At 56.0% G+C, this 23234-nt stretch overlaps 1 protein-coding gene across 28 annotated transcripts, besides 7 other annotated features; it reads left to right on the forward strand.

Moving 5' to 3' along the window:
- Nucleotides 1365-1894: a silencer, noted in NCBI's record as "silent region_18149". NCBI's record gives its function as "represses an Ori minimal core promoter by ATAC-STARR-seq in GM12878 lymphoblastoid cells {active_cell/tissue: GM12878}" and the evidence as "EXISTENCE:reporter gene assay evidence [ECO:0000049][PMID:35858748]".
- Nucleotides 1594-22904, forward strand: ZMIZ2 (zinc finger MIZ-type containing 2). Of its 28 annotated transcripts, none has more exons than XM_047420896.1 (21): nucleotides 1594-1654; nucleotides 2838-3003; nucleotides 3995-4114; nucleotides 9211-9322; nucleotides 9448-9562; nucleotides 9970-10172; nucleotides 10401-10584; nucleotides 10871-11131; nucleotides 12304-12483; nucleotides 13174-13251; nucleotides 13448-13616; nucleotides 14472-14616; nucleotides 14718-14928; nucleotides 15904-16009; nucleotides 16279-16436; nucleotides 17442-17509; nucleotides 17964-18032; nucleotides 18358-18602; nucleotides 19187-19356; nucleotides 19444-19686; nucleotides 20539-22904. In XM_047420896.1, the coding sequence occupies exons 4-21, from the start codon at nucleotides 9273-9275 to the stop codon at nucleotides 20644-20646; spliced, it is 2763 nt and encodes a 920-aa protein (XP_047276852.1). In that variant the 5' UTR covers nucleotides 1594-1654; nucleotides 2838-3003; nucleotides 3995-4114; nucleotides 9211-9272; the 3' UTR covers nucleotides 20647-22904. The 28 variants fall into 28 exon arrangements, with proteins under 28 accessions (XP_047276852.1, XP_047276847.1, XP_047276851.1 ...); XM_047420892.1 differs by lacking the exon at nucleotides 1594-1654 and adding an exon at nucleotides 1870-2014 and having other exon boundaries at nucleotides 3929-4114; nucleotides 14445-14616; XM_047420893.1 differs by lacking the exon at nucleotides 1594-1654 and adding an exon at nucleotides 1870-2014 and having other exon boundaries at nucleotides 14445-14616.
- Nucleotides 2005-2114: a silencer, noted in NCBI's record as "silent region_18150". NCBI's record gives its function as "represses an Ori minimal core promoter by ATAC-STARR-seq in GM12878 lymphoblastoid cells {active_cell/tissue: GM12878}" and the evidence as "EXISTENCE:reporter gene assay evidence [ECO:0000049][PMID:35858748]".
- Nucleotides 2125-2174: a silencer, noted in NCBI's record as "silent region_18151". NCBI's record gives its function as "represses an Ori minimal core promoter by ATAC-STARR-seq in GM12878 lymphoblastoid cells {active_cell/tissue: GM12878}" and the evidence as "EXISTENCE:reporter gene assay evidence [ECO:0000049][PMID:35858748]".
- Nucleotides 3955-4424: an enhancer, noted in NCBI's record as "active region_25954". NCBI's record gives its function as "activates an Ori minimal core promoter by ATAC-STARR-seq in GM12878 lymphoblastoid cells {active_cell/tissue: GM12878}" and the evidence as "EXISTENCE:reporter gene assay evidence [ECO:0000049][PMID:35858748]".
- Nucleotides 7697-8378: an enhancer, noted in NCBI's record as "H3K27ac-H3K4me1 hESC enhancer chr7:44794273-44794954 (GRCh37/hg19 assembly coordinates)". NCBI's record gives its function as "activates a minimal SCP1, AML or CMV promoter by ChIP-STARR-seq in naive and primed H9 embryonic stem cells {active_cell/tissue: H9 hESC(naive and primed)}" and the evidence as "EXISTENCE:reporter gene assay evidence [ECO:0000049][PMID:30033119]".
- Nucleotides 21007-21533: an enhancer, noted in NCBI's record as "H3K4me1 hESC enhancer chr7:44807583-44808109 (GRCh37/hg19 assembly coordinates)". NCBI's record gives its function as "activates a minimal SCP1, AML or CMV promoter by ChIP-STARR-seq in primed H9 embryonic stem cells {active_cell/tissue: H9 hESC(primed)}" and the evidence as "EXISTENCE:reporter gene assay evidence [ECO:0000049][PMID:30033119]".
- Nucleotides 21368-21507: an enhancer, noted in NCBI's record as "active region_25955". NCBI's record gives its function as "activates an Ori minimal core promoter by ATAC-STARR-seq in GM12878 lymphoblastoid cells {active_cell/tissue: GM12878}" and the evidence as "EXISTENCE:reporter gene assay evidence [ECO:0000049][PMID:35858748]".
- Nucleotides 22905-23234: the final 330 nt, after the last annotated feature.

Consider the following 23234-nt stretch of genomic DNA (forward strand, 5'->3'; position numbering starts at 1 on the left):
TATGGATGGAGGGGCCTTATTCTCCTGGTTCCTGGGGACAGACCAGTGTTCACAGACCCCAGACCAGGGACTGTTGTACAGCAGGCCTGCCATATTTGTTCAATGAACGAATGATTCCCAAAAGAAATAGAGCACAGAGTTCAGAGGCGGCCTTCAGGGAAGAAATTTCAACAATGTCAAAAATTAATTGTGGAGTATCCATTGATAGATGAATGGATAACTTAAATGTGGAATATGCATACAATGGAATATTATTCAGCCATAAGAAAGAAGGGGCTGGGCGCCGTGGCTCACGCCTGTAATCCCAACACTTTGGGAGGCCCAGGCAGGCGGATCACGAGGTCAGGAGATCGATTCCATCCTGGCCAACATGATGAACCCCGTCTCTACTAAAACACACACACAAAAAAATTAGCCAGGCGTGGTGGCGTGCCCCTGTAGTCTCAGCTACTCAGGAGGCTGAGGCAGGGGAATCGCTTGAACCTGGGAGGTGGAGGTTGCAGTGAGCCGAGATTGCACCACTGCACTCCAGCCTGGCGACAGAGTGAGACTCCGTCAAAAAAAAGAAGGGAAGGGAAGGGGAGGGAAGAAGGAAGGAAAGAAGGAAGGAAAGAAAGAAAGAAAGAAAGAGAGAGAGAAAGGAAAGAAAGAAAGAAAGAAAGAAAGAAAGAAAGAAAGAAAGAAAGAAAGAAATTCTGACACATGCCACAACATGGATGGAAGTGAGGACACTGTGCTAACTAAAGTAAGACTGTCACAAAAAGACATATAATGTATGATTCCACTTATACGATGTCCTTAGAGTAGTCTAATTTAGAGACGAATAGTGAATGCCAAAGGCTAGGAGGAGGAAAGAATGGGGAGCTAGTGTTTACTGGGTATGGAGTTTCCATTTGAGAAGATGAAAAAGTCCTGGAGACGGTTGGTGGTTGCACAAGAATGTGAATGTACTTGGTGCCACAGAACTACACTTGGAAACAGTTAAGATGGTAAGTTTTACGTTATGTGTATTTTACCACAATTAAGAAAAATTAATTATGGGTAGTTGAGAGAATGTGGTCTTCCTCAACTTACGGTAGGAAAAGTCAAGAATAACTTAAAGGCTGATAATAGCATTTCAAAGATCGAAACTGATCAGAGAGGCTATTCCATCAGGCTAGACTAGCTCAATAGTGACTTTTTCCAGAAGGAGAACCACTGGGAAGAGAGAACTGAGCAGTGAGGACAGCGAACTTGTTAAGTTTAGTTTTCTGCTTTAACGAGGGGCTTCCGGAGTCCTTTAATAAGATCCCCTCCCAAAAGTGGCACCCTGGGTCTCTCTGTCTCCCAGTCGTGTCCCCGCCCGCCGGGCCAGAGCAATGGACTCCCAGGAAGCAGGGGGGGCGCGGGCGGGGCGCGGGCGGGGCGGGTGGGGGAAGGGCAAGGACTCACTCTTCCTTTCCTCCTCCGCCGGGGCCCGCCCCGAGCCCTGGCCCCACCCCGGCTCTCTGGATCCGCCTCCTCCTCCCGACCCCGCCCCGGCACCTTGGCCCCGCCTTCCACTCGGCCCCGCCCCGGCGTCCTGGCCCCGCCTCCGCCGCCCGGCCCCGCCCCGCTCCCGGCGGACTGCGAGCAGGAAGAGCGCAGTGGCTCTGCCGACGCCGCGTTCAGAAAGGTGTGGAGGGGGCTGGGGGCGCAGGTCGCGATCAGGCTGCGTCTCCTGCCCGCCCAGCCACCTGCGGCCCTGGCCCCACCCTGCCGCTTTGGGCCGCTCGGGCTCGCGGCCGCCCCCGCCCCGAGCGCCGGCTCGGGGCTCTGCTGCTCTGGCCTGGGAGGCGGGGCCGGCTGCGCGGCGTCATGCATATGCATGAGCGGCGCGGCGGCGGCTCCATTGTGCCCTCGGAGCGGGCGGCGGCGCGATGGCGCGGGTGGCGGCGGCCCCGGGGCGGCGGGCGGCGCGGAGGGCGGGCTGAGCGCATGGAGCGGCGCGGGCCGGGGGCCGCCACGGCGAGGGGCCGGGCCAGGCCGGGCGGAGGTGAGCGGGGTCCTGGGGGTGGCCCCTGGCAACGCCGCCAGCAGGCAGGTGTGGGCCGGCGGGGGCAGGCAGGTGCGGCAGGTGCGGGCCGGCAGGTGCGGGCGGGCAGGCAGGTGTAGCTGGTCGCCCGGGGCGCCCCGGTTCCGCTGCGGCGCCACGGTAGGGTTCACAGCTGGGCTGGGGCTAGAGGCTCTGCCGCCCACCTGCCGGCACCTGCCACGCGTGCGTCGTGGTCTTGGGCAGGCTCGGCCCCGTGGGCGTCAGGGTCATCCAGCCCTCCCCTGAGTCTTTGTTGGAGGCTGGCCGAGGGGTGTAAGCGGCGCTCGGGGTTCTCCTGAGCGATGAAGGCTGGCCGGGCCTTCGCTCCAACCTGATCGTTCCTAGCTTTGGGGCCAGGCAGTCTCACCTACATGGTACGCCCCTCCGCTCCTACTTACGTGCCCACCAGCACGGCGATGTGGGGGCCGTCTGAGGCCGTCACCTGCTCGCGGAGGAGCTGTTCCGCTCCTGGGCTGAACGACGCTGAGCGGCCAGCCCCCAGCTGCCAGTTTTGATGGGGACACCCCTTTCCAAACTGGACATACTGAAGCTCAGGCGTGAGGATGCCCTGCTCCCCTGAGGTGCCTTGTCTTCCCTAGTGCCAGGTGTCCTTCACCGCGGCACCCCCACCCGGTGCCTTGTTTACCCCTCCACCTACCGTGTCTCTCCTCCCATTCCCTGGACCCTCTGCCCTGCAGTGTTCTGCCTCTCCTTCTCCCTAGGGTACCCTCTTTCCAGTATTACAGAACATCCATGGTGGTGTCTTTAATTTGTGTCATCGCAGATTTCACAGGGACACACACGGAACATGTGACTTGGTCTGAGACCGTGGTGATTACGGATAGGATGGACACAGACTCACCACCAAGTTCTGGCAAGCTAGAACCAGAGGGCATCCCTTGATGCTTAGTGTGGAAACAGGAGAAGTGAAGGAATCTTAACTTCCAGAGGTACTGACCTCTAGCCCTTGTCATGCCCAGGGGATAGTTACAAGCTGGAAGTGTAAATGAAGAGAACAAGCAGGTGACAGTTGCCGGTTGTAGATTTCTGAAGGACAGGCCTAAGATGTTTGGGGAGCATCCTGATTATTGGGATTGAGCTCCCAAGGGCTGATGACATGAAGGTGGTCATGTGTCCTCAGTCCTAGGATGCTACCAGATATCCATCTTACACATTGTAAACTGATGCCAGGTTAAGGTTGTCCCTTCAGCTGTTCACTGAAATGTCTCATGCCTGGGCCATTGCTTATTCCTGGACTTTTTGATGAACTCTGCATCCTGACTTAGCCCCACGCTTAGACATTTTAGTACTGTGGCCTTACAGGTAGAGGGGGCAGGACTTTCAGCTACCTGTATATGTGAGTACCCCACTTTTTGCTACCAAGGACCCCGCTCCTGCAACATTCCACAGCCATCATTTCTTCAATACCCTTTGACTCCATTGTCACCTGGGTTGGATCCTGACCCTGCAATCTTGGAGACAGTGAGTCCTGATGTGTGACCTATTGAGAAGCGTTGCCTGCCACAGGGCCCACTTGCTGGTCCTGCTCCTAGCTGACTAGGCAGGCAGAGAGGTGGCATGGAACAAGGCTCAGGAGGTCAACCAGGAGACTTGGGGGTGCAGCTACTCTGGGACATTTGGGGAAGAGAGGTCTGGGGTAGTGAGTTCTGTAACTCTGTCTAGAGGAAGATGTGATCTGACCCCCGAGAAAGCCTTGTGGCCCTCTAGACTGACCTTGTCCATCTCTCAAGGGGTCCTAGCTTCCAGCTGGAGTTAGTTTACAAGGAAAGCGCCAGGCACTAAGACCCTTGGTGGGCATGGGCCTTGCATGATCTGGGATCCAGATTCCAGGCTCCAGGCTTGTTCCCAACCCAGACTCAAAGCCAGGAGATGAGAAGAGGATCTGCACACACACAACGCAGAACACTATCCTATCATCAGGGGCACAGGGTCAAGGATACCAGACCTGGAGACTGGAAGTCTTTTCAGAGAGACTGTCCTCAGAGAGGAGACCAGAGGCATGAGTTCGGGTCGGCAGGAAATCCCCCTGTGCAGTGAAGAGTAAGCTCAGAGGGAACTGGAAATCTTTGTGGTCTCTGTCCACAGCAGAGAACCATCAGGGGTGGAATTCCCCAGGCTCATGTGACATAGGAGCCTGCTGTGGGCTCCTCCCCTCCTTGTACCTGCCCTGTGCTCCTTCTCCCCAGCTCACTGCATTTCCTAGATCTGAGGTTCTCAAACTACAGTTCCTGGACCAGCAGCAGCAGTAGCTGCAAACTTGTTAGAAATTCTGGGCTTAGGCCCCAGCCCATCCTACTGACTTCAGGTGGGGCTGGGCAGCCTGTCATCACCAGCTGCGAGCTGGTTTTGATGTGCTGCAGTTGGGGAGCTGCTGCCCTAGGTGACCTAAAATGAGGCAGTGCTGCACAGAGTGCTGCCTGCACTTTGAGGCCTTTGACCACGGGCGGGGGAGGGGGCACATCTGCTTGCCTGCCAGATTCCCTCTCTGTTCTTGGGACAGCAAAGTGGCCAGCCAACCCAACCAGCTTTCTAGTGGGGAAAGATTGTCACAGCAGTTCTGCGGAGACAGAAGGCTGGTGGTAGCAGTTGTATTGTAATTAAACTTTTTATTTTGAAATTATTGGCTGGACACAGTGGTGCTCACCTCTAATCCCAGCACTTTGGGAGGCCGAGGTGGGTGGATCACTTGAGGTCAAGAGTTCAAGACCAGCCTGGCCAACATGGCGAAACTTCATCTCCACTAAAAATACAAAAATTAGCCAGGCATGGACTATGGTGGTGTACACCTGTAGTCCAGTTACTCAGGAGGCTGAGGCAGGAGAATCGCTTGAACCTGGGAGGTGGAGGTTGCAGTGAGCCTAGATCGTGCCACTGCACTCCAGCCTCGGTGAAAGAGCAAGATTCCATCTCAAAAAGAAAAAAAAAAAATTAAAGATTCATGTGCATTATAAGAAATGACACAGAGAGATTTATTCTGTCCTTTACCCAGTTTGCCCCAATGGTAACATCTTGGAAAACTAGTACAACATTGCACCAGGACACTACACTGATACAGTAAAGAGGTTACAGCCTGTTGCCTTCTATTTTTTTTTTTTGAGATGGAGTTTCACTCTTGCTGCCCAGGCTGGAGTGCAATGGTGCGATCGGCTCACTGCAACCTCCACCTCCTGGGTTCAAATGATTCTCCTGCCTCAGCCTCCTGAGTAGCTGGGATTACAGGCGCCCACCACTACGCCCGGTTAGTTTTTGCCCAGCTAATTCTTATGTTTTTAGTAGAGTTGGGGTTTCACCATGTTGGCCAGGCTGGTCTCGAACTCCTGACCTCAAATGATCTGCCCACTTCAGCCTCCCAAAGTGCTGGGATTACAGGCGTGAGCCACCGTGCCCAGCCTGTTGCCTTCTTATATTCACGCCCACCTTCCTCCTGCCAAAATTACAGAAATGGAGAAGAGATTAGTACCTTTCTCTTTACCCCCACATTTAACCCCTGGCAATCACCAATCTGTTCTCCATTTCCCTAATTTTGGTGTGTCAAGAATGCTAAATAAAGGAATCGTACACCGTGTAGCCTCTTGGGATTGGCTTTTTCCACCGAGCATTAATTCTCTGGAGATTCATCCAGGTTGTTGCATATATCAGTAGTTCATTCCTTTATATTGCATCCGGGCTATGGATGTACCACCGTTGATTTAACTCTTCATCCATTGAAGGACATCTGGGCTGTTTCCATTCCATAGCTCTTGCAAATAAAGCAGTTATAAACATTTGTGTACAGGTTTTTATGTGAACATAAGTTTTCATTTCTCTGAGATAAATGCGTACAAGTGCAGTTGCTGGGTCATAGTAGGGTAGCTGCTTGCTTAGTTCCATATGATACGGCCAGACTGTTTCCCAGAGTGGCTGTACATTTTACATTCCCACTAGTAATGTGTGAGAGATCCAGTTTCTCCTTGCCAGCATTTAGTGATGTCACTATTTTTTATTTTAGCCATTCTGATGGATGTATAGTGATATCTCACTGTGGTTTTAATTTGCATTTCCCCACTGACTAGTGATGCTGAGCATCTTTTCTTATGCTTATTTGCCATCTGTATATTCTCTTTGGCAAAGTGTCTCTTTATGTTTTTTGCTTATTTTCTAATTGGAGTTTTTAATTTTAATTTTTTTTTTTTTTAGTTTTGAGAATTCTTTTTTTGTTTTGTTTTGTTTTTTAAATCATGGTTCACTCTGTCATCCAGGCTAGAGTACAGTGGCATGATCATGTCTCACCCCAGCCTCCACCTTCTGGGGTCAAGTGATCCCTCCACTGCAGCCTCCTGAAAAGCTGGGACCACAGGTGCATGCCACCACGCCCAGCTAATTTTTAAATTTCTTGAGGAGTCGGGGGTCTCACTCTGTTGCCCAGACTGATCTTGAACTCCTGGGCTCAAGCAGTCCTCCTGCCTCGGCCTCCCAAAGTGCTGGGATTATAAGTGTGAGCCACTGTGCCTGGCTGAGAATTCTTTATATGTTCTAGATACTAGTCCTTTGTTGGATATGCAGCTTGCAAATATTTCTCCTGGCCTGTAACTTATCTTTTCATCCTCTTAGCAGGGCCTTTCCCGAAGGAAAAATTTTAATTTTGATGAAGTCCAGTTTATCAGTTTTTTTCTTTTATGGATCATGCCTTTGGTATCAGGTCTAAGAGCTCTTTGGCCTAGATCACAAAGATTTTCTCCTATATATTTTCCTGAATATTTTATAGATTTATGTTTTACAGTTAAATCTATAAACCATTTTGAGTTACTTTCTGTATAAGGTGTGAAGTTTAGGTGTTTTTTGTTTGTTGTTTTGATGCCCAGTTGCTCCATTGTCCCAGCACCATTGGTTGGAAAGGCTGTCCTTCCTCCTTTGAATTGCTCTCGCACCTTTGTCAGACATTGTTTGGGCCTATTTGTGCAAATCAATTTCAGATTCTCTGGTCTCGCCTGTTGGCCCATGGTTCTGTTCCCATGTTGGTACCACACAGTTTTGATTACCATATCTATATTCTAAGTCCTAAAATCTGTGTATGGCTGCTCAAGGCCCCACCCAGCAGTTCTGGGGAGGAGTTTCTGGCTGTTGGCAGGTTCCTCTGTCCCCCAACATCACTATTCCTGAGTCAGGCTATGGGACTGGGATTGCCACCCCTACCTTGCCTGGCTGGGCCATCTCAGCTCCCAGGCCTGTTCTTGCCTAGAGTCCAGGTGCCTGGAGCCTTCTGGAGCCATCAGCCCCTGGTTTTCTTCACCCCTGCTTCCTGGGCAGGACTTGGTCTGGGGGAGCAAGGGGAGGAGCCTATGGGCTGGGAATCAAGTCTTGCCTCCCCTGAGGGTGTGAGGAAGTCCAGAACACTGCCCTCTCCCTCTTCCCTAATTGGTACCCCCCAGTCCCAGTGCTCGGTGATGGGAAGATCCAGTGAAAGGCCACATGCTTAGACTCCCCAGGCAGAGCTCAGCTCTACTTCTCACCTGCTCTGGGGCCCTGGGCACACAGCTCGCCCTCAGAATCTCCAGGTCTATATTTTGAGGGGTGAGGCTGTTCCTACCTCCATTGGTGAGGCCCTCGGTCAGCACAAGAAATGGCAGCCTAGATGAATGCGGGGCCACCCTCTCCTGGGGCAGGGAGAGGCCATGTGAGTGCTGCGATGGCAGGATGGCACCAGTGGTCAGCACGCCTCAGGTGGCATGTCTGTGTGTGTGGCAGCCTTGTAGGCCCTAAAAGGGAGTAGTATCCAAGGCGAGCATGCCTGGGGACTCCTGAGAAACAGCTGAAGCGGCCTCTCCTGTGCTGCAGCCAGTGTTCCTCTGTGGATAGCCTAGGCAGGCAGAGGTGGACATGTCAGGTGGTCCTGGGAGTGTCAGAACCCAGGGTAGTGCCAGTGAGGGCCCTTCAGGGACACTCAGGGGCAGGGCTCCAGGGCATGTCTGGGCCTGCTTTGGTAAGGGGCTTGCTTGTGGCAGTGTCGGAAGGCGTGGCACTCAGAAGCAGCCTGAAGGTGTGGTCACTTCCGTGGCTTATTTACTAAATGGGGAGAGCAAACTTAGCGTGGCACATGTAAGTCCCATGGTGCCAGCACTGTGGTCCTGCATGCGTCCTCCCTGACACACCCCCTCTGCTGCCCTGTCCTGAGCACCAGGTCACTGGTATCCACTCAGCCCCATCTTGCAGAGTCACTTCAATGTCTCCCCAGCCCCTTTCTTAGAAACACTGGCCAAGTCACAGTCCCTGCCAGGTCTGTGGGTGCCCACCCTCCATCTATTGTGCTGTGTGTCCCTGCCCTCTCCTGGGGGTGTCATGGATGGGCCAGTGGGTCTGCCTGCCTGGCCCCTAGGACCATATCAGCCTCGGGCAGCCCCCACTTGGTGGAATCTGGGTCAGTTCTGAGGTGCCCTGGCCTGGAGCCCTTCTACTACCCTAAAGAGGGCCTTCTTGTTGGGAGGGGCTGCTAGCCAGAGCCCAGGTTACTGGCCCCACACCCCATTTCAGGAGGTATCCTGCATGTCCCTCCCCAAGGCCAGGATGGAGAGTTGTTGGTTGACCACTGCACTCCTGTGATCACCGCACCCCTGCACTCTCCTCCTCGGCTTTCTCAGCCCCTGGCCTCCAGAACCGCCTATGCCCCTACCTGGGCTACTCAGGGTAGACAAGACCTTTAGCAGGGAGTCCCCTCACCTCCACTGCCCTCTGTCCTTCACCCCAGGGCCTTCTGTGGGGTTACTGGCTACTGGCTCCTCTCTAAACCCCAGTTTCCACGGGGTAGCTAGGATTGTCCCTGGCTTTATAAGGATAGCCAGGCCTCGGTGTGGGCGGGAGAGTGGGGAAAGTATTTGGAATCGGGAAGTCCATCTCTAGGGCTGATCCAGGGACTCTGGGTGGCAGGGCCTGGTCAGAAAGGGTTCATGCTGGCCTCCAGGCTGTATTTGTGGGGGCAGATCCTCACCAGAGTGAGTGGGGTGGGTCAGTACTAGGCCCCTCCACTGCCTTGCCTGCCATCAGAGCCCAGGGGTCCCTTATTGAGAAAGAGGTGGGGCCTGCTGGCACCGGGGTCCCTCCACCCTGCTGAAAGGGTCTCCTGGCTGCATCGCAGCTAACATCCCTTCCTTCCTGTCGGGCAGCCAGAGCAGCTGAGTTCCAGATAAAAACTGTCAGACCCGGCCTGTAGGCTGCTCCATTGCCAATGAACTCCATGAACCCCATGAAACCTGCCCTGCCCCCTGCGCCACACGGGTGAGTGTGGGCTCCTCTGCCCACCCCTCAGGCCCTGGGGTTGGGGGTGGCATTTCTGGAAGATCCTAGACTCTTGGACACCAGTGGCTTCCTGACCCAGGCCTCAGCAGCCTCTTTCCCTGCAGTGATGGTTCATTCGCATATGAGTCTGTGCCTTGGCAACAAAGCGCCACTCAGCCGGCTGGATCGCTGTCTGTGGTCACTACTGTGTGGGGAGTTGGCAACGCGACACAGAGCCAGGTAAGCACCCACTGGTGCCCCACCCCCGAGCAGACAGAGCCTCCCAGCACTTGGCAGTGCTTAGTGCCTCCTCAGAGCTCTGAGAGACGAAGAGGCTGAGAGGTGAGGACAGAGAGGCTGAGGCATGACATATGAGGATGGGGCCTCCTGAGTCCCCTAAGTCTTTGGACACTGGTTCTCTTTCCACACCTGCTGTGGGATTTTCTTCTCCTGTCTTCACCTAGCCTTCACAAAATGCCCCAACCTCCCTGTGGACAGCTGCTTTCCCTGCTTCCCGTGCTATACCCTGTCCCCCCCACCTCTCCCCCAACCCACTTGCCAGGCCTGTTGGTTTCTAGCACTTTGGAGCTGCTGCATGAAGCACGTTGTTTGGCTGGTTCCCTTTGGTGATTCCTGCTTCCTCATAGGTTTTGGGGAACCCCATGGGCCCTGCAGGGAGTCCCTCTGGCAGCTCCATGATGCCTGGTGTGGCAGGGGGCAGCTCCGCCTTGACCTCCCCACAGTGCCTGGGACAGCAGGCGTTTGCTGAAGGCGGCGCCAACAAGGGCTACGTGCAGCAAGGCGTGTACAGCCGCGGGGGCTACCCTGGGGCCCCCGGCTTCACCACCGGGTAAGCAAGTTCCCTCACCTGGCAGGTATGCTAGGAGCCATCAATCTGGCAGGCACCTCAGAACTGTGGCGCTGATCAGCTGGACGTTCCCTCTCTGCTTCCTGACAGCTGTAGTGGAGGGTCTAGAAAGAATGGGCTCCCCCTGGGTGCTGCATGCCTCTGGGGTGAGCACAGTCCTGGCCCTCATGAGCCCACGCAGAGAGCGTGGCAATCCTGTGTCTCCTGCAGGTATGCAGGCGGCCCGGGGGGCCTGGGCCTCCCCTCACATGCTGCAAGACCCTCCACTGACTTCACGCAAGCGGCAGCTGCTGCAGCTGTGGCTGCTGCGGCAGCCACTGCCACCGCCACAGCCACAGCCACCGTGGCTGCTCTCCAGGAGAAGCAGAGCCAGGAGCTGAGCCAGTATGGAGCGGTGAGCCCCCTCAGCAGCTCCTCCCACATGGCAGCCAGCCTGAGGGCCTGGGAGGAGGTACTCAGCCAGACAGTGGGCTCCAGGGACAAGCATGGAATATGCCAGGGCTCATGAAGCCAGTAAAAGAGAGATGTGTGGGAAGGAGTGAGGGTCTGAGGGGAGAGGTTTCTGGGGTGTCCTGTGAAAGGGTATGGTGCCCACATGGGTGGGTGGGCGGGTTTTATGCCTATCTTTTGGAGCCCTTTGTGGGTGGGACCTGGACCATTCTTCTTTTTTCTCTTCCTAGATGGGGGCCGGACAGTCTTTTAACAGCCAGTTTCTGCAGCATGGAGGTCCCCGGGGGCCTAGTGTCCCCGCTGGCATGAACCCTACTGGCATAGGAGGGGTAATGGGCCCCTCTGGCCTCTCCCCCTTGGCTATGAACCCCACCCGGGCAGCAGGAATGACACCCTTGTATGCAGGGCAGCGTCTGCCCCAACATGGGTATCCTGGGCCTCCCCAGGCCCAGCCACTGCCCCGACAGGGGGTCAAGAGAACCTACTCTGAGGTGAGTGTCCAGGTCACCTAGTTTGGGGCCTTGGGTACCAACTCCCTCACCCAGGCACTCTTTAGAGCTGTGGTAAAGAGCAGGCTTCTGGCTGGGCATGGTGGCTCACGCCTGTAGTCCCTGCACTTTGGGAAACCAAGGAGGGTGGATCCCTTGAGCTCAGGAGTTTGAGACCAGCCTGGGCAACATGGCGAAACCGTGTCTCTACAAAAATTAGCCTGGTGTGGTGGCATGTGGCTGTAGTCATAGCTACTTGGGAGGCAGAGGTGGGAGGATCGCCTGAACCCAGAAAGTTGAGGGTGCAGTTAGCTGTGATCGCTCCCCTGCACTTCAGGCTGGGCAACAGGAGTGAGACCCTGTTTCAAAAAAAAAAAAAAAAAGCAAAAGCCGGGCATGCTGTCTCATGCCTGTAATCCCAACACTTTGGGAGGCTGAGGCAGGTGGATCACTTGAGATCAGGAGTTCAAGACCAGCCTGGCCAATGTGGTGAAACCGCATGTCTACTAATAATAGAAAAAATTAGGCCGGGCGCGGTGGCTCACGCCTGTAATCTCAGCACTTTGGGAGGCCAAGGCGGGTGGATCACGAGGTCAGGAGTTGAAGACCAGCCTGGCCAGCATGGTGAAACCCCATCTCTAATAAAAATACAAAAAGCATTAGCCGGGTGTGGTGGCGGGCGCCTGCAGTCCCAGCTACTTGGGAGGCTGAGGCAGGAGAATTGCTTGAACCCAGCAGGCAGAGGTTGCAGTGAGCTGAGATCATGCCACTGCACTCCAGCCTGGGTGACAGAATAAGACTCCATCTCAAAAAAAAAAAAAAAAAAATTAGCCGGGCGTGGTGGTGTGCACCTGTAATTCCAGCTACTTGGGAGGCTGAGGCAGGAGAATTGCTTGAACCCAGGAGGTGGAGGCTGCAGTGAGCCAAGATTGCACCACTGCACTTCAGCCTGGGCAACAGAGTGAGACTGTCTCAAATTAAAAAAAAAAAAAAAAAAAAAAACAGGCTTCTGCATGTGAGAACTGCCTGTGCCTGACAGTGTCACAGCAGGATCTTCAAGGGAACCAGGAAATCTCCATTCCCCGAACCCTGCCACACATGAGACTCTACTTCCTTCTGGAACCAGCTCCCCTGATGCCTTTTTTCTCCCCTCGGGCATTTTGCCTCTTTTTCAGGTGTATCCAGGGCAGCAGTATCTGCAAGGAGGCCAGTATGCACCCAGCACCGCCCAGTTTGCGCCCAGCCCTGGGCAGCCCCCTGCCCCCTCCCCTTCCTACCCTGGGCACAGGCTGCCCCTGCAGCAGGGCATGACCCAGTCCCTGTCCGTGCCTGGCCCCACGGGACTGCATTATAAGGTAGGGCAGGCTCCTCCAGGCCCTGTGCCGGGCTCCGTGCTGAGTGCTGTGGGACAGGGGACCTTGGGGCAGTCCTGTCCTCGAGAGCGACAGGGTGGCTAAAGGGGCCAGCAGGATGTGTAGGTCCATGTGTGCTCATGGACCACAGCTCTACAGGAGATGGGGGGTGGGGGGTGGGGGCATTCTGACCAGTGCAGGAGCAGCTCCTGGGGTTTGGGATCCAGTTCCGAAAGGACCCTCTACAAGATTCATATATCTCAGGGGTATCCTGTGCAGGGAGCAGCAGGTGGGTACCCAAAACATTTGAATGTTCTTTATGGAAAAGTGTCATTCCTTCTACTTGCTGCAGAGAAATCCATTGAGAGGACAGGCCCTCGCTGCTGGCCATGTACCCTTTCTGGGTGCATGGGCAGAGCCTACCTCCCTGGGAGCCTGGGTGCGCCGGGTGGTGCAGCTTGGGGGAGGAGAGGAGGAGGGCTTAGCGTGCTTTTGTCTTTTCAGCCCCTCCAACCTGTTTGATCATTTTCCTCTGTGGCTATGATTGCTTTAAGTAGTGTTACTTGTAGATTATTTGGAAAATACAAGAGAGTGTAAAGAAGACCGTGTATGGTGGGCTTCTAGGGTCAGGTCCAGGGGGCCCGGCAGGGGTCAGGTTGGAGCCCCAGGTGCATGCAGTTTTCTCTCCCGCAGCCCACAGAGCAGTTCAACGGGCAGGGCGCCAGCTTCAACGGGGGCAGCGTCAGCTACAGCCAACCTGGCCTGAGTGGGGTAGGGGGCCTGGCCGGGAGGATGGGCCGGGAGGCTCACAGGGTGGGCATATGGAGAGAGGGCGACCGGGCAGGCACCCCTGGGGCCGCCTCCTGTCCACCTCTGTTATCATGGTTCCCAGTGGGTGCGCCGTGAACAGACTCCACTCCCATCCACCCTGGCAATCTGCCTTGACTGTTTGTGCTCAACCCTACAGCCTACCCGTTCCATCCCGGGCTATCCCAGTTCCCCACTGCCAGGGAACCCCACGCCACCCATGACCCCAAGCAGCAGCGTCCCTTACATGTCACCAAACCAAGAGGTCAAGTCTCCCTTCTTGCCTGATCTCAAGCCCAACCTCAACTCCTTGCACTCATCGCCCTCTGGTAAGTCTGTCCACTCTTGGGACAGCGGGGTGACAAGGCCAGGGTGGGCATGGGGGAATCACAGGACTCCAGAGAGTCCTGTAGGAGCTTGGGGGACAGGGGATGGCTGCCATATCCCTAAGAAAAGGGCTGGGTGTGGTGGCTCACACTTGTAATCCCAGCACCTTCGGAGGCTGAGCACAAGAGTTCAAGGTTACCGTGAGTGTGATCTTGCCACTGCACTTCAACCTGGGTCCCAAAGCAAGACCCTGTCTTAAAAAAAAAAAAAAAAAAGGCCAAGGATTCCATCTTCTTAAAGACAAGTCGCTTAGTGCCAAGCCTTCACCTTTTTGTTCTGTTTGTGGCTTTCTTTGCAAAGGAGGCTGTGGCTCTTCTCTCCCCTGTGCACAAAATGTTGTATATAATTTCAGGGGATTTATGAACCCCGGAAGCCCATTCCAGGGAGACCACAGCAGCAGAAGTTGGGATCGTAGAACTCTAAACAGAGCTATAGGGCAATTGCAGGAGGCTCTCACACACCTTGGCCTCCCAGTCTCTCTGAAAGCACTGGAAACACCTTTTGTCTGGGCTGGGGACATGTTCCCCTATTATGGTTTAGGGGACACTGGGCTGGACTGCTGAGGCAGGAGGCAAGACAGAACATCACGACCGAATGCCCAGGCCTCAGGAGAGATGCTGCCCATGGCCCCAGCCCCAGGGCACCACTCAGGCCTGCCAAGCAGTGCCTGACAGGAGGGGCTCCCTTCACCAAGGTCCCTGCGGGGAAGGTGGCTGGGGAGCCGCTGCCCTCCTTGAGTGACACAAGACGCTCTGGCTGGGGCAACCCAGCTCACAGCCAGTGGCCTCTGCTCCCAGGAAGCGGGCCTTGTGACGAGTTGCGGCTGACCTTCCCTGTGCGCGATGGGGTGGTCCTGGAGCCCTTCCGCCTGCAGCACAACCTGGCTGTAAGCAACCATGTCTTCCAGCTGCGAGACTCAGTCTACAAGACCCTGATAATGAGGTGAGCTCCGCCTGGCCCCCACCTGACCCCCACGAGGCTCTGTTCCTCCTCCCACACTCTCAGGGCCCGTTTTCTGGGTGTCCACCCATCTTCCTGAGCAGGCCTGACCTGGAGCTGCAATTCAAGTGCTACCACCACGAGGACCGGCAGATGAACACCAACTGGCCAGCCTCGGTGCAGGTCAGCGTCAATGCCACGCCGCTCACCATCGAGCGTGGCGACAACAAGACCTCGCACAAGCCACTCTACCTGAAGCATGTGTGCCAGCCAGGCCGCAACACCATCCAGATCACCGTCACCGCCTGCTGCTGCGTGCGTGTCCTGCGCCGAGGGGGCGGTGCTGTGGCGTGGGGCGGGGTGTGGTGGGGCCTGGCCCAGCGGTGCCGTGGGGTGGGGCGGGGTGTGGGCGGGGCCTGGCCCAGCGGCGCAGTGGGAGCGGAGCCAGGACATGGGCGGGCCGGCCTGCAGCACCATCAGATCATGCCGCCGTCTGCTGTTTTGCTGTCCACCGCCTGCTGTAGCATGTGTGCCCCCTTGCAGGGTGGAGAGCAGGACGTGGGGGCTTTATTATTTCAGAAAAATGCGTTGCTTCTCTTTGTTACTGCCTTGTATTTCTATTTTAATCTGTCATCCTTGCCCTTTAAGAAAGCGATCCAGTAATATACCCTAGCTGTTTTCCAGTTAGAGTAAATTGACTAGATTTGATGCTCACATTAATTATGTAAGAGAAACCAGGATATGCAGAAAGCTCATGGAGCTCGGAGTCCCCGGCTGATCAAGCATTACCGGTTCTAGCAAGCATCAGGGTCACCCTTGGGCTAGAGAAGAAAGACATGGCTTATGAGTGCACTAGTCAGCCTGGGCATGAGGGCCTTGGGGACGGGTTGGCCACACACCACATTGTCTGGGATGTGGCAGATGTCAACACAGACCCAGCATCTGTGACTGTGGATGTGCGAGCAGGGGGAACGTTCAAGGGGACTTGAGGTGATTCTCTTCATGGAGAAGTGGTGACTAGGCAATGGTTAGACCGGCAGGATGCCCAGCACAGCTGTAGAGATGGATACAAGCGTGGGCAGGGCGCTGAGGCCAGGAAAGGCAGCTGGATGGGGCCAAGCCACTGAGGAGTTTTGTTGGCTGAATCCCCACCCCCAGCTCACCCTGCCCTCAGCCTTGTCCCTCCCCCACCTGGCAGCCCCTGACACACAACCCCCAGCACACCCTTTACCTGGCCAGGGTGGCCCCTGGCCCAAGTCCCCCTGATGACATCCTCCCGTTGTATTGCAGTCCCACCTCTTCGTGCTGCAGCTAGTGCACCGCCCATCCGTCCGCTCGGTGCTGCAGGGCCTCCTCAAAAAGCGCCTCCTGCCTGCTGAGCACTGCATCACCAAGAGTGAGTGGCTCCTGCCCCTCAGCTGCCAGGCAGCCATCCCCATTCTGTGTGGCCCAAGCCCAACAATCCTCCTTGTGGGCACCTCCTCGTGTCACACCAGGCCTTCTCCTTGGACAGGTGGCTCTGCAGTAGGGGCAGTGGTTAGTTCCAGGTGGCCCCTCAGAGCTGTCAGTGGGTCAGTGACTGGGTCCCTGCCTCGTTGGCATCCCCATTCACACCTCCCCATCTTGGGGACCCTTTACTCAAGTCCTTTACCTTGTTGATGTCAGTAAAGCGGAACTTCAGCAGCGGCACCATCCCTGGCACCCCTGGGCCCAACGGAGAGGACGGGGTGGAGCAGACAGCTATCAAGGTGTCCCTGAAGTGCCCCATCACCTTCCGCAGGATCCAGCTCCCTGCCCGAGGTCATGACTGTCGCCACATACAGGTAGGTGGTTACTGCAGAGTCTTGCCGGAATTTGCTGCTGCTAAAATATCTTGAGTCGATACATCAGTGTCATTCTCTGGACAGACGTGAACTCCGAGTGCCTTGGCTGTCAGGCTGACAGGACAGGCCTCCCACGCCAAGGAGGCAGGTGGGCCTGGCTCCCCCAAGACTAGGCTATTTTTTCTTCCAAATATAATTGTCATTTTACTAACTTTTTTACTGCCTGCTTCATTCATGGGTTCAAGTTTTGAAAGGCATAAGATTGCAGGGTCCAGTCTTCCTGCCCTACCCCCAAGGGTGACCATCGTTAGCATCTGTCTTTGCAGAAATACTCTGGGTATGAACAAGTAGATGCACAGCCCACTGTCTCTGTGGTTACATAGTGGTCCCTATTGCACAAACTGCTCTGTGCTGTCGTTTTTCTTCTTTTAACACCATGTTCTGAGGCTGGGCGCGGTGGCTCACACCTGTAATCCCAGCACTTTGGGAGGCTGAGGTGGGCAGATCGAGGTAAGGAGTTCGAGACCAGCCTGGCCAGCATGGTGAAACCCTGTCTCTACTAAAATTACAAAAATTAGCTGGGGCATGGTGGTGTGTGCCTGTAATCCCAGCCACTTACGAGGCTGAGGTAGGAGAATCGCTTGAACCTGGGAGGCGGAGGTTGCAATGAGCTGAGATCGAGCCACTGCATTCCAGCCTGGGTGACAGAGCGAGACTCTTGTCTCGAAACAAAACAAAAATACCATGTTCTGGAAGTGGGTCCCAGTCAGCACAGCTGCCCGATGCTTGCTTTGGCCACATGGCATTCCAGTCTCAGTGAGAGCTGTTTGGGCTGTTCCCAACCTTGATCCATTAGAATGATGTTGCAGTGAAAACCTGGTACATGCAGTATCTCAGTTATGCATGTAAATAAGTCACACATTCCTGAAAAGGGATTGCAGAGTGACCAGATTTTCCCTGTGCTACCCACAATGAGAAACTGACTTTCTTCCCATCTCTCTACAGTGCTTTGACCTGGAGTCGTACCTGCAGCTCAACTGTGAGCGGGGGACTTGGAGGTGTCCTGTGTGCAAGTGAGTCTCAGATGCAGCGTGTGATGGAGGAGGGGCTGGTGCTTTTAGAGGCTTTCATGGGTGAAACCTCCAACAGCATCATCAAAGATACGAGCCTGCTGGGAGGAGTCACTGCATGGACTGGGGTTGTGCAGCTCAGCGCAGAGAGCTCGTATAGGGTGGCCTTATGCAGGGTCATCTCATGCAGTCACCTTGTGCAGAGTCACTTCACACAGGGTCACCACATGCACAGGATCACCTCGTATTTTCACCTCACACAAGGGTCAGTCACACAGGGTCACCTTGTACTGTCACCTCACATAGGGTCAGCTCACACAGAGTTACCTTGTTCAGTTGCCTCACACAGGATTGCCTCATGCAGGGTCACAGCTGACAGGGCTGAGAAATGACAGGGCCTGTGCCCAGGACAGGGTTGTGCAAGGTCTCTGAGCTGTGTCCCTTTTTTTCCCCACAGCAAGACAGCTTTGCTGGAGGGCCTGGAGGTGGACCAGTACATGCTGGGCATCCTGATTTACATTCAGAAGTAAGCATCCTCTTCCTGTGATCCCTGCATCTGTGGCCACTGGAGGGCAGCCCCAGGACATGTCGGGGGATGTCCCTTGCCAAGTGCAGCCTTCCAGCCTTTTTCCGGCATGGAGCAGGCTGGATTCCAGGCCAGAGACAGCGTGTGTGTCCTACCTGAGTGTTGGTGCTGGGCCCAGCGTCCTGCTCGATGTGGAAGGTGCTGGGTGGAAGCAAGCATTTGAGTGGGGGAACCTGCCTGGAAACAGCCCAGGGCTGGGAGGGGCAGTGGGTGCCGGGCCAGCAGCAGGCCAGGAGGTAACCATTCCCCACCTGTCCCTGCCCAGCTCTGACTATGAGGAGATCACCATCGACCCCACGTGCAGCTGGAAGCCAGTGCCCGTGAAGCCTGACATGCACATCAAGGAGGAGCCGGATGGGCCAGCACTGAAGCGCTGCCGCACCGTGAGCCCCGCCCACGTGCTCATGCCCAGCGTGATGGAGATGATCGCCGCCCTGGGCCCCGGCGCTGCCCCCTTTGCCCCCCTGCAGCCCCCCTCAGTCCCTGCCCCCAGCGACTACCCTGGCCAGGGTAAGTACAGCAGGCTAGCCTTGAACCTCAGATGACCCTGGGCATATGGCTCCTCTCCCCAGATCAGTCTCCTCACCTGCAAGAATGTGGCTATGCAGGTCACACACCTAGGTTATCAGTGTTGCCACACAAAACATGCCGCGGGGCACCTCCAGCCCCTCCCATCTCAGGGACGTGGCGGTGAAGGCACAGTCTCAGCTATGGTCCCAGGAAACAGACAGTGGGGCCTCCACCCTTCCTTCCCCGTTTGGATTAAGGGGCTCCTGGCTGGAACACCTCACAGGACTGGCCCCATCTGGGGCCCCCCTCTGGGACCCACCTCACACGCGTGGTGCGTTTGTTTGTGGCTGCTCCCATTCCTATAACCTCCGAGACCTTCACTCCTAGGAATGTCCCAAGGCCAATTCCCTTGGCAGCAATGAGAAGAAATGCCCTTTTCCAAATAGCGACTTCTGCAAAACCCGCTGTTGTTTGTGGGTGAGCACTGCAAGTCCCACCCATGCCACAGCCAGCCTCCCTCCTGGCTCCTCTGCCAGCGGTGGCCTTCCCCAGCCCTCACCCAGGCCCCGACTCTCCTCTCACAGGTTCCAGCTTCCTGGGGCCTGGAACTTTCCCTGAGTCCTTCCCACCCACCACGCCCAGCACCCCAACCCTTGCTGAGTTCACCCCGGGACCACCCCCCATCTCCTACCAGTCTGACATTCCCAGCAGCCTCCTGACTTCAGAGAAGTCTACCGCCTGCCTCCCAAGCCAGGTCAGTGCCAAGCCGAGAGGCCAAGGGGCCCTGTCTCCCCAGGGGAGCCCCTGAGCTGTTTTAACAAATTCTTCTCTCTGTCTTCAGATGGCACCAGCAGGTCACCTGGACCCCACTCACAATCCTGGGACACCAGGACTACACACCTCCAACCTTGGGGCCCCTCCAGGTCCCCAGCTGCACCATTCAAACCCTCCCCCAGCGTCCCGGCAGTCCTTGGGCCAAGCGAGCTTAGGACCTACGGGTGAACTGGCCTTCAGTCCTGCCACAGGCGTGATGGGGCCCCCCAGCATGTCTGGAGCCGGGGAGGCCCCAGAACCAGCTCTGGACGTGAGTACCAGGCCCCATGCGGGGGAGTGCGTGGGAGCCAGGGCTAGAGGTGGTGTGTCTGTTCCAGGTGCGTTCTGGAAGGGAAGACAGTGACCCCTCAGAGAGCCGGTCAGATAAGGTCAACTAAATGCAGCTTTTGTTCATGAATTAGATACCTGGAGTAGCTGCGGGTGGGATGCGATGTACCACATTTGTGTTCATGAGGGGCCTGGATGCCGTACGGGCGGACGCAGAGTCTCAGAGGAGACTGCACTGGAAGCTGACAGCACGGTCCTTAGAGTCAAATTTCGTCTGTCCATTTGCTCAGTAGCCCTGGGTCTTGACTCACAGGTGGAATGGGAGTGCAAACTCAGTACATGAAGGACAGAACTGACTGTCCCTGGACCATAATAGAAACTCATTCTAGAAGTTCAACATGAAACTCATTCTAGAAGTTCAACATGAAAAAGTTAGGAAGAACAGCTCCAAGCAGAAAATCCTAGGGGCATGGAATTCCACCACCAGCATTCACCTTGGGGCATCACGGTGGGGATCCCCACGCAGGCTGATGCACAGAGGGAGTGTGGAGTGGCTGCACTCCCTCACATCCCGTTTCCTGGTGGTATTGAACAGCATGTTGCCAGCTGTTCTGGCCCCAGAGCAACCTTGCAGGGAGGTCCCAGGGGGTGGCGTGTGCCTCTTTGAGCACATGCAGGCCTATGGTGGGGCCCCGCACCCGGCCTGTGTGTGAGGAGGGGCTGCTCAGCATCCCCACTGTGCCTGGAGACAGGGCCGGGATGTGGTGACAGGATGGTCACTCAGGTGTGGCCAGTCAGTGACCAAAGCTGCTAACAGAGTTCACTTTGTCCTCAGCTGCTCCCGGAACTGACCAACCCTGATGAGCTACTGTCCTACTTGGGCCCACCCGACCTCCCTACGAACAACAATGACGACCTGCTTTCTCTGTTTGAGAACAACTGATCCTGTGTTTACCCCAAGCCCGGCGGGGACACGCTCACAGATGTCACCACAGCCCTGCCCTTCATGCCCAGCCCCATGGGACACCCGGTGGTCTTTCCCAAACCTCCCCCAAAACACACCTGGAGCCAGAGCCTTCTGCCGCCAGCCCTGCCCCTGAATTGGAAGCAGCCCTGTGCTCGATGGGAGGGGCTCCCAGGCCGGCAGCCCTTGCCACCTCCCTCTGCCAAGCCTGCTGCTGCAGAACGGTTTTTGCTGAGGTGCCCCTGCCCAGCCCTGTCCAGCCTTGTCCACACACACATCTCACGCCCCTGGTCTCACAGCCTCACACCTTGTCCTTCCACCCCTGCCTGCCCCCACCCAGCCTGCTTCTTGTCCAGCATTGATCCTTCTGTTTCAACAACTCCTCCACTGGGCAGAGCTGGGCATCTGGCAGGGCTGGCTCTGTCCCCTGGGCCTTTGGCTCCAGTGGCCCCTGTGCCCAGCAGTCCAGCTCTTGGAACCTCGCTGAATGGCAGCCTCTTGGGGGCCTGGAGCTCTGGCAGCCCAGCCGTGTGTGGTGTCAGGTTCCTCTCCCCACCCCAGCTTCAAGCAGAGGCCTCGGGGTGGGGGAGCTACAAAGCACAACAATGTACATAGTGTAGAAACACTAACAGCTGGGAGAGGGGAGCCAGCTGTCCAGCCAGCATGTTCCTGTTGTACAGCCCGGTCTCCCTGCGCGCTCTGCTCCTTCCCATGTGCAGACAGATCAGGGAGGAACCTCCAATGGGTGGGGGACAGTGAGCTTCGGCCTGGCCGAGGTGGGTGGGTGGGCTCTCAGATTCAGCTCTGTGTAAAGATTCTCTAGCGGGCTGCGCTCCCAAGTTCCCCTTCTCTGTGAAAGTGAAGAATTAGTACAGCTGTGTTTTTTAAAGCCACCTCTCTGTCTCCACCCCATGGGCCCACACCCAGGTGGGGGAGGAGGAAGCCACTGCATCTGTTGGCTCAGGGCCCCAGCCTGTGCGAGCAGGGCGCCTGGGCTGTTGTGTCTCCTGTCTGTGCCGATCTCTATTAAAGGACTCCCTCTTGGTGGGCCTGGCCGAGTCCCTCCTTTGTGCTCCCAGGGACTATTTTCTCCTCGTAAGCCAGCGACCTGCCTAAAGCTTGGGCTGTGCCTGCAAAGCTTGTGCAGGACCTGGGGGCCAGGTCGACCTTCAAGTGGCTTTTGGGGCCCCAGGTTGAGCTCTGGATGTTTCAAGCCAAGGCTCGGCTATTCCCGCCCCATAGTAAATTTCCTTTTCCCTGGAATTTTCCAAGTTGGCTTCAGCTGAAGAGCTGTTTTGTGAAGCATCCCAGGCTTGCCCAGGAGAGACATTTGCCACTATGTCACCTTATCTGGGCTTGCCCTGGGGCACTGAGACAGTTGTTTGGCAGCCCCAGCCCAGCCAGGGGCTCATCCTTCTCAGCTCTTGTCCCTGGGAGGCCTCTGCTTGTCACTTCCCAGAGATTGCAGAGGTGTGTCCTGCCTACCATCTGCCTGTCCAGCTTGGTGGGGGTCCGGGTCACCATTTCCTCCAGTCCTGGGCCCCATCCTTGAGGGCCTTCCCAGCCAGCCAGCAGGAGAGGCAAGAACTGGGGGAACACAGGAACCTAGGGGAGGAGGGGAGCGCTGGGCATCCTCAGGCTGGCGGCCAAGGCCTGCCCCTGGAGGCACTAGAGGAGGGCATCTGTCTGTGGGAGCCCAGAGGCTGCAGGGAGGAGGAGGAGGGAGGTATCTGGTGTGAGCGTTGCCCCTGCGACATTTGGGACCACACAGGTGGGCTTCCTTATTCCCTGACAAAGCCTCTGTTTCCAGCTCTTCCGCCCTCTCTGGATGAGGGAACAGAAGTGGAGGAAACAAAAGAAGCAGCAGCACGCACAGTCCTGTCGCTGGGTGCGGAGACAGCCTGGCAAAGTCCCACTCAGCCATGGCCTGATGCAGGCCCCAGGCCCTCCTTTCTTGGGTGTCAAATGACTGTGTCCTGGACATCTGATGCACCACCTGCCCTGCCTGTTGCAAACGTGATGCTCCCGGATGGAGTGGAGAAACTAGGAGACTGGGACAAGCAAAAGGCTGCAAACAACCCAGAAGCCCATCCTCAGAAGACTGGAGAAATGATTGAGGAATGCATGGGCACCGTGGCCCTGTGCTCCATCACAAACACCTCTCAGAAACAACGTGGGATGAAAAAGCAAGACAGTTCATACAGTATGATGCCATTTTTATAAAGCTCAAAACCAAATATGTGTGGAATTCATACCCAGGTGCTAAAGTCATCAGGGAGGGCAGGGAGTCAGTACAACACAGTGCTCACCCGTGGGGAGGGGACGGAGCTGTGCTTAGGGAAGAGCAGAGATGCTGGAGGTTTTGAACCTCAGGGTCAGTGGTGGCTTCGTGGGTTTCACTTTGTCGTACTTTCTGTTTCACACATTTTCTTGTGAATGTGCCAAGTATTACATAAAAACCAAAAGGCTGACCAGACTTAACAGTGCTCCACCCAATAGCAGCAGAACACACGTTTCTAAGTGCACAGGGAACGTTCTCCAGGACAGACCACACGTTAGTGCACAAA

The sequence above is a fragment of the Homo sapiens genome, chromosome 7, assembly GCF_000001405.40.
Source record: "Homo sapiens chromosome 7, GRCh38.p14 Primary Assembly".
NCBI classification, from domain to species: domain Eukaryota; kingdom Metazoa; phylum Chordata; class Mammalia; order Primates; family Hominidae; genus Homo; species Homo sapiens.

Bases quoted from the DNA above. Each gene is read 5' to 3' on its own strand.
- ZMIZ2 (XM_047420891.1), top strand. From the start codon at position 9,273: ATGAACTCCATGAACCCCATGAAACCTGCCCTGCCCCCTGCGCCACAC. The intron at 14,929-15,903 runs GTGCGTGTCCTG...GTTGTATTGCAG, and splicing joins CCGTCACCGCCTGCTGCTGC to TCCCACCTCTTCGTGCTGCA. The intron at 18,603-19,186 runs GTAAGTACAGCA...CTCCTCTCACAG, and splicing joins CAGCGACTACCCTGGCCAGG to GTTCCAGCTTCCTGGGGCCT.